This window comes from Homo sapiens, chromosome X (assembly GCF_000001405.40).
Source record: "Homo sapiens chromosome X, GRCh38.p14 Primary Assembly".
Classification (NCBI taxonomy): Eukaryota; Metazoa; Chordata; class Mammalia; order Primates; family Hominidae; genus Homo; species Homo sapiens.
Genome location: NC_000023.11, coordinates 119,711,249 through 119,720,847, shown reverse-complemented (window position 1 = coordinate 119,720,847; position 9,599 = coordinate 119,711,249).

Below are 9,599 nucleotides of genomic sequence, written 5' to 3'. Positions count from 1 at the left end.
GTTTCTTTTCCATACCAGCCACCACAAAGATTTATTTAAAAAACAGCTTTACTGACATATAATTCACATATCTTTCAATTGACTTTTTTTTTTTTTTTTGAGACGGAGTTTCACTCTTGTTGCCCAGGCTCGCGTGCAATGGTGCGATCTCGCTCACTGCAACCTCCGCCTCCCGGGTTCAAGCGATTCTCCTGCCTCAGACTCCCAAGTAGCTGGGATTACAGGAGTACACCACCACGCCCTGCTAATTTTGTATTTTTAGTAGAGATGGGGTTTCTCCATGTTGGTCAGGCTGGTCTCAAACTCCTAACCTCAGGTGATCCTCCCACCTCGGCCTCCCAAAATGCTGGGATTACAGGTGTGAGCCACTGCGCCAGGCCACAATTGACATTTTTAAAATGTACAATTCAATGGCTTTCAGTATTTCACATATGTGCAACTATCACAACTATCTAATTTTAGAACATTTTCACTGCCTCAGAAAGAAACTCCATACCCATTAGTGATTACTTTTCATTTCCTTCCTAATTCTTCCAGCCCCAGGACAGTACTAAATCTACTTTCTGTCTCTATAGATTTCTCTATTCTGAACATTTCATAAAATTGGAATCATACGATATGTGTTTTTTTTTGTGACTGGCTTCCTTCACTTAGTATCATGTTTTCAAGGTTAATCCGTGTTGTAGCATGTATCAGAACTTCATTCCTTTATTTTTATTTTTTATTTTTTTAACACGGAGTCTTGCTCTGTCACCCAGGCTGGAGTGCAGTGGTGCAATCTCAGCTCACTGCAACCTCTGCTTCCTGGGTTCAAGAGATTCTCTTGTCTCAGTCTTCTGAGTAGCTGGGATTACAGACACATACCACCACGCCCAGCTAATTTTTGTATTTTTAGTAGAGACAGGGATTCAACATGTTGTCCAGGCTGGTCTCGAACTCCTGACCTCAGGTGATCCACCTACCTCAGCCTCCCAAAGTGCTAAGATTACAGGTGTGAACCACTGCGCCCGGCCCTTAATTCCTTTATATTGCAGAATAATATTCCCTTGTATGGATATACTACATTTTATTTATTCATTTATCCATTGATGGATATTTGGGTATTTCCATTCTTTGACTATTATGATGAGTGCTGCTGTGAGCATTCATGTACAAGGTTTTCTGTGGATATATACTTTCATTTCTCTTGGGTAGATACCTAGTTTGAGAGGGGTGGAATTGCTGGGTCATATGGTAACTATTTTGAACATTTGGGGAACTGCCAAACTATTTTCCTAAATGGTTGCACCATTTTACATTACCAGCAGTTGTGAACGAGTGTTCTAATGCCTCTACATTCTTGCCAACTCTTGTTATTATATTTCTTTTTTTTATTATAGCCATTCTAGTGGGTATAAAGTGGTATCTCACTGTAGTTTTGATTTGCATTTCCCTGATGGCCCAATGGTATTGAGCATCTTTTCATAAGCTCATTGGCCACTTGTCTATCTTCCTTAGAGAAATGTCTATTCAGATCTTTTCCCCTTTTTAAAAATTGAGTTATTTTGCTTTTTATTTTTGAGTTGTAAGAGTTTTTCATACATTTTCATTTATAAGTCTCTTATTAGATATATGATTTGTAAATATTTCTCCCCGACTCTGTGGGATGTCTTCTCACTTTATTGCTGGTATCCTATAAGGAACAAAAATTCTAATGAAGTCCAATTTATCTGTTTTTTCTTTTCTTGCTTGTGCCTTTGGTGTCACATCTAATAATTCATTGCTTAATACATGGTCATGAAGGTTTACTCTTGTTTTCTTCTGTTTTTAAATTTTAGTTCTTACATTAAGGTCTTTGATTCATTTTAATTTTTTTTTTTTCTTTGAGAGACAGGGTCTCACTCTGTCACCTAGGCTGGAGTGCAGTGGTGTGATCACGGCTTACAGCAGCCTCAACCTCCTGGGCTCAAGTGATCCTCTCACCTCACCCTCCCAAGTAACTGGGACTACAGGTGTGCACCACCATACCTGGCTAATTTGTACAATTTTTTGTAGAGACAAGGTTTCAATATGTTGCCGAGGCTGGTCTTGAACTCCTGAGCTCAAGCGATCCTCCTGCCTTGGCCTCCCAAAGTTCTGGGAGTACAGGCATGAACCATCAAGCCCGTCCATTGAAATTTTTATTAATTTTTATTTTGGGGGTGGGGGGGATGAGTTCTCTCACTCTGCTGCCCAGGCTAGAGCATAGTGGCATGATGAAAGCTCACTGCAGCCTCTAACTCCTGGGCTCAAGCAATCCTCCCACCTCACCCTCCTGAGTAGCTGAGACTAGGACTACAAGTGTGTGCCACCACACCTGGCTAATTTTTATTATCATTTTTTGTAGGGATGGGGTCTAGCTATGTTGTGCAGGCTGGTCTTGAACTCCTGGGCCCAAGCGATCCTTCCACCTTGGCCTCTCAAAGCACTGGGATTACAGGCATGAGTCACCCACCGTGCCTGGCCCATTTTCATTTTTATATATGGTATGTAGTAGGGGTCCTGTTTCATTCTTTTGCATGTGAATATCCAGTTGTCCCAGCATCATTTGTTGAAAAGACTATTCTTTCCCCATTGAATTGTCTTGATACTTGCTATGGTCTGAATATTCGTGTCTCCTTCGTCCCCAAGCCATATGTTGAAATCCTAATGAAGTGATAGTATTAGGAGGTAGGACCTTTGGGAGTTTAGTGCTCTTATAAAAGAGACCCCAGAGAGGTAGCTAGACCCTTCCACATGAGAACATAGTGAGAAAGCGCCATTTATGAACCAGAAAGTGGGTTCTGACAAATCTACCAGCACCTTCACTGTGGACTTCCTAGCCTTTAGAACTGTGAGAAATAAATTTTTGTTGTTTATAAGCTACCCAGTTTATGGCATTTTGTTATAGCAGCCTGAATGGAGTAAGACAACACTCTTGTTGAAAATCGATTGACTGTAAACTACAAGGTTTATTTCTGGACTGTTAAATCGATTCCATTGATCTATGTCTATCCTTATGCTAGGACCACACTGTCTTGATTACTGTAGCTTTGTAGTAAGTTTTGAAATGGGGAACTGTGAGTCCTCCAACTTTGTTTTTCAAGACTATTCTGGGTCATTTGAATTTCCATATTAATTTTAGGATCAGCCTGTCAATTTCTGGAAAGAAAAGGTACCTTGGATTTTGATAGAGATTGCATCTATCTTAGCTAGTTTGGAGATTATTGTCATTTTAACAGTATTAGTCTTCCAATTCATGAACACAGAATGTCTTTCCCGTGCTTCTTTCAATAATGTTTTGTTTTTAGTGTATAAATCTTGCACTCCTTTTGTTAAGTTTATTTCTAGACATGTTGTTCTTTTTTTTTTTTTTTTTTTTGAGACAGTGTCTTGCTCTGTTGCTCGGGCCAGATTGCAGTGGCGCGATCTTGGCTCACTGCAACCTTCGCCTCCCGGGTTCAAACAATTCTCCTGCTTCAGCCTCCTGAGTAGCTGATATTACAGGTTTGTGGCACCACACCAAGCTAATTTTTGCATTTTCAGTAGAGATGGGATTTCACCACGTTGGCCAGGCTGGTCTCGAACTGCTGACCTCAAGTGATCCACACACCTTGGCCGCCCAAAGTGCTGAGATTACAGGCGTGGGCCACTGTGCCCAGCCTCATTTATTAGTTCTAATAGTTTTTAGTAAATTCCTTAGGATTTTCTGTGTATGAAATTATGTCACCTGCAAATATAGTTTTTCTTTTTCTTTTCCAATCTGTATGTGTTTTATTTCATTTCCTTGCTTACTTGCCCTGGCTAGAACTTCCAGTACAATGTTGAAGAGAAGTGTTGAGAGTGGACATTTTTGCCTTTTTCCTGAACTTAAGAGAAAAGCATTCAGTTTTTCACTATTAAGTATGATGTTAGCTGTGGATTTTTTCATAGACACTCCTTGTCAAGATGAGAATGTTTCCTTCTATTTCTAAGTTTATTTATTTATTTTATCATGAAGAGGTGTTGAATTTTGTCAAATGCTTTTTTCTGCATCTGTTGAAATGATTGTTTTGCTTTTTGTTTTTTACTCTATTGATATAGTGTATCGCATTATTGATTTTTCAGACGTTAAGCCAACCTTGCATCCCTTGGTAAATTCCACTTTGTAATGGAGAATAATCTTTTTATATACTGCCAGATTCAGTTTGCTAGTATTTTGTTGAGGATTTTTATGCTTATGTTCATAAGAGATATGATTTTCTTTTTCTTTTTCTTTTTGTAGAGACGAGGTCTTGCTATGTTGCCCAGGCTGGTCACGAACTTTCAGGTTGAAACAGTTCTCCCGCCTCTGCCTCCCAAAGTGCTAGGATTACAGGCATGAGCCACTGCGCCTTTTATATCTTCATCTGGTTTTATTATCAAATACTTTGTTAACGTGATGCATTAAATTGATTGATTTTCATGTGTTGAATCATCCTTGCATTCCAGGAATAAATCACTTGGTCATGGTGTATAATCCTCTTAATATGCCGTTGAATTCAGCTGCTGGTATTTTGTTGAAGATTTTTGCATCAATATGCATAAGGAATATTGGGCTGTACTTTTCTTTCCTTGTAGTATCTTTGTCTGGCTTTAGTATTAGGGTAATGCTCGCCTCACAGAATGAGTTTGGAAGTGTTATATCCTCTTCTATTTTTTGGAAGAATTTGAGAAGGATTGGTGTTAATTCCTCTTTAAATGTTGGTATAATTCACCAGTGATACCATCTAGTCCTGGGCTTTTCTTAGTTGGAAGTTATTGACTACTGGCACAAACTATTTGTTACATCTCTCTTCAGAGTTCCTATTTCTTCTTGAGTCAATTCCTGTAGTTTGTGCCTTTTTAAGAATTTTTCTGGCCGGGCGCGGTGGCTCACGTCTGTAATCCCAGCACCTTGGGAAGTCGAGGTGGGTGGATCACAAGGTCAGGAGTTCGAGACCAGCCTGGCAAATATGGTGAAACCTCGTCTCTACTAAAAGTACAAAAAAATTAGCCGGGCATGGTGGCACATGCCTGTAATCCCAGCTACTTGGGAGGCTGAGGCAGAAGAATTGCTTGAATCTGGGAGGCAGAGGTTGCAGTGAGCTGAGATCACACCACTGCAGTCCAGCCTGGGTGACAGAATGCGATTCTGTCTAAAAAAAAAAAAATTTGTTTTCCATTTCATCCAAATTATCTAATTTGTTGATATGCAGTTTTTCATTGTATTCTCTTATAATCCTTTTTATTTCTGTAAAGTCAGTCCTTATTTCCCTTCTTTCATTTTTGATTTTAGTAATTTGAGTGCGTTCTCTTTTTTCTTAGTCCATTTAGGTAAATGTTCATCAATTTTGTTGATTTTTTTTTCAAAGAACCAACTTTTGGTTTCGCTGATTTTCTCTATGTTTTTCTGTTCCCCACTTCATTAATTTTTGCTCTAATCTTTGTTAATCCTTCCTTTGATGGCTTTGGGTTTAATTTTCTTTTCTTTTTTTTTTTTTTTAGGGGTCTACAGCTATATGTTTCCTTCAAAGCACTGCTTTAGTTTCTATTTTATTTTTATTTACTTAAATTTTTTTTTTTAAAGACAGGGTCTCACTATGCTGCCCAGGCTGGTCTCAGACTCCTGGGCTCAAGCAATCCTCCTGCCTCAGCCTCCCAAATTGCTGAGATTACAGATGTGAGGCACCGCACCCAGCCTAGTTTCATCCCATAAACTAGGGTATATTAGTATATTGGCATATTTTGGTATATTGTGTCATAATTTGCATTCATCTCAAAGCGTTTTCTAACTTATGATTTCTTCTTTGACTCATTGGTTATATATGAGTATGTTTAACTTCTTTTTTTTTCCCTACAGGACAGCCAACTCCATGTCTAGTTTCTATATATTTGCAAAATTCCCAAAATTTTGCCTAACTTATCTCTAATTTCACTCCATTGTGGTTGGAGAACATACTATGTATGATTTCAATACTTTTAAATTTATTAAGGCTTCTTTTACGGCCTGGCATGTGGCCTATCCTGCAGAATGATCCATGGGCACTTGAGAAGAATATGCATTCTGTTACTGTTGGGTAGAGTGTTTTATAGATGTCTTTAGGCCTAGTTAGTTTATAATGCTGTTCAAATTTTATATTTCCTTTTAAATGTCTTTTTCCTTTTCATTCTAACCCTTGGGGGTTTTCTGTTAGGTATACACAGATATCCTTTTAACATTCATATCTGACTGTGTTTATCCTCTGTTTGAATATTTTGAATTCTCATTCACCACAATATGGAGAAAGCTCCTCAATATGGCACCCGAGGCAATGGTATGGCTACTGGTAATTTCCAGTATCTTCAAACTCTGACTTCCAGTCACACAATATCTTAGAGTTCCTTGAACATACCATGTTCTTTCTTCCTTCTTGTCTTTGTACATACTATTCCTTTTGCCTAGACTGTATCTAATCTCGACTCCCCCTTCCCCAGCTAACTCTTACTCATCCTTCAAGGCCTAGGAAGTCTTTCCAAACCCACATCTGGTTAACTTGCTGTTCTGTGGTCTCTCAGTACCCTGTGCTTACTGCATAGCACTTCTCCCCTTAAAAGGAACTGGAGTAGGGCATGGTGGCTCACACCTGTAATCCCAGCACTTTGGGAGGTTGAGGTGGAAGGATCACTTGAGGCCAGGAGTTCAAGACCAGCCTGGGCAACATAGTGAGACCCCTATCTCTACAAAAAAAAAAAAAAAAAAAGCTGGGAATGGCAGCATGCCCCTGTGGTCCCAGCTACTCTGGAGCCTGAGGCAGGAGGATCACTTAAGCCTGGGAGGTCCAGGCTGCAGTGAGCTGTGATTGTGCAGCTACACTCCAGTTTGGGTGAAAGAATGAAACCCTGCCTTAAAAAAAAGGAATTGAAAATGTATCTGTCGGCCGGGCACGGTGGCTTACACCTGTAATCGCAGCACTTTGGGAGGCTGAGGCGGGCGGATCACGAGGTCAGGAGTTCAAGACCAGCCTGGCCAAAATGGTGAAACCCCATCTTTACTAAAAATACAAAAATTAGCTGGGCGTGGTGGTGGGCGCCTGTAATCCCAGCTACTCAGGAGGCTGAGGCAGAGAATTGCTTGTACCAGGGAGGCGGAGGTTGCAGTAAGCCAAGATAGCACCAGTGCAGATCTGTCCGGCCTGGGTGACAGAGTGAGACTCCGTCTCAAAAAAAAAAGAAAAGAAAATGTATCTGTTGAGGCAGGCGGATCACAAGATCAGAAGTTCGAGACCAGCCTGGCCAATCTGGTGAAACCCCATCTCTATTAAAAATACAAAAAAATTAGCCGGGCGTGGTGGCGGTGGCGGGCACCTGTAATCCCAGCTACTTGGGAGGCTGAGGCAGGAGAATTGCTTGAACCTGGGAGGCGGAGGTTGCAGTGAGCCTAGATTGCGCCATTGCACTCTAGCCCAGGCGACAGCGGGAGACTCTGTCTCAAAAAAAAAAAAAAAAAAAGAAAAAGAAAAAAGAAAAAAAAAGATATCTGTCAGCCGGGCGTGGTGGCTCATGCTTGTAATCCCAGCACTTTGGGAGGCCGAGGCAGGCAGATCACGAGGTCAGGAGATCGAGACCATCCTGGCCAACATGGTGAAACCTCGTCTCTACTAAAATACAAAAAATTAGCTGGGCGTGGTGGTGTGCGCCTATAGTCCCAGATACTCGGGAGGTTGAGACGGGAATTGCTTGAACCCAGGAGGCACAGGTTGCAGTGAGCTGAGATCAGGCCGCTGTACCCCAGCCTGGCAACAGAGCGAGACTTTGTCTCAAAAAGAAAAAAAAAAAAAAGACCTGGCACAGTGGCTCACGCCTGTAATCCCAGCACTTTGGGAGGCCGAGGCGGGCAGATCATGAGGTCAGGAGATCGAGACCATCCTGGCTAACATGGTGAAACCCCATCTCTACTAAAAATATACACAAAAAAATTAGCCGGGTGTGGTGGTGGGCGCCTGTAGTCCCAGCTACTCGGGAGGCTGAGGCAGGAGAATGGCATGAACCCAGGAGGCGGAGCTTGCAATGAGCCGAGATCGCACCACTGCACTCCAGCTGGGCAAGAGAGCTAGACTCCGTCTCAAAAAAAAAAAAAAAAAAAACAACCATGTATTCAAGTCAAGAGAAATTTGGTGGACCCAGCTGTCATTGCCTCATGCTTCATCTCATGGACTTTGCAAGTCCAGTTTACCACATACTGTTGATGGAGAAAGCAATGAAAATTATTAATTTTCTCTGTGTTCATGCCTTTAACCATGACCAGTTTATGAGCTATTTAGAAGAGACTGATCACAAGTATGTAGATTTATCGAGCTGTCACCTCCAATCAAGGGCTTTTTGCAATAAAGGAGCCACCAAATCTAATTTGTTAGACCTTCCGTGATTCACAAGATTGTATTTTCTTATGGATGTGACAAGACATCTGAACACATTGAACTTGAAACTGCAAGAGACAAATAAAAGCTCTGTTGATTTGTTCATGGAAATGCAGACCCCCAGCTGGACATGCGGATTGGGCAGATGATGACTGGAAACCTCTCATTTTCCATTGCCAAACTGTCTTGAGTTCAATGCACTCATAGATTTTGAAGAATGCTGCACTATATTTGGTAGGAAATAAGTCACAATTGCATGAGGATTCTTTTCCCTGGATACAGGAGGAGGGGTGCAGAAGAGAGTTTCAACCACAGGGCCCTGAGAGCCCAGGAAGTGAGGAAGGAGCCTCTCTCACTTAGGTGAAATATGCGGAGCCAAGAACCTGCAAGCCAAAAAGACCAAAGCAGTAACAGGAGGTCAGAGCCAGTCCTCAGGCTTGGGCCAGGCTCGGTAGATGCCAAGCATGGTTGATTGCCTTGCGTTTCCTGTAGCAGCCTTGGTATAGTGCAGAAGGCCCAGGTGAGTTTAAGGCACAGTGATGGGATGGTCAGAAGAGACTCATAGGTTTTTTTCCTTTTCCTTTCTTCCTTCCTTTCTTTCTTTTCTTTCTTTCTTTCTTTCTCTTTCTTTCTTTCTTTCTTTCTTTCTTTCTTTCTTTCTTTCTTTCTTTCTTTCTTTCTTTCTTTCTTTCTTTCTTTCTTTTTCTTTCTCTCTCTCTCTCTCTTTCTTTTTGAGATGGAGTCTTGCTCTGTTGCCCTGGCTAGAGTGCAATAGCGCGGTCTCAGCTCATTGCAACCTCTGCCTGCCAGGTTCAAGCAATTCTCCTGCTTCAGCCTCCCGAGTAGCTGGGATTACAGGCGTGTACCACCACGCCCAGCTAATTTTTGTATTTTTAGTAGAGACAGGGTTTCATTATGTTGGCCAGGCTGGTGTTGAACTCCTGACCTTGTGATATGCCCTCCTCAGCCTCCCAAAATGCTAGGATTACAGGCGTGAGCCACCGCACCCAGACGGGTTTTTTCTTTTTATATAACACCTTATTGAGTTATAATCCACATACCACTAAATTCACCTCATTCATAGGTTTTGATGAGTATAAACAATGTTTTATTTTCATAAACAAAAGAATGTAATTTTAAAGACATTTTTATGATTGACTTGGAAGTACAGACCTTCGTTTGTATGTTTGTTTGTTTGTTTTCAGA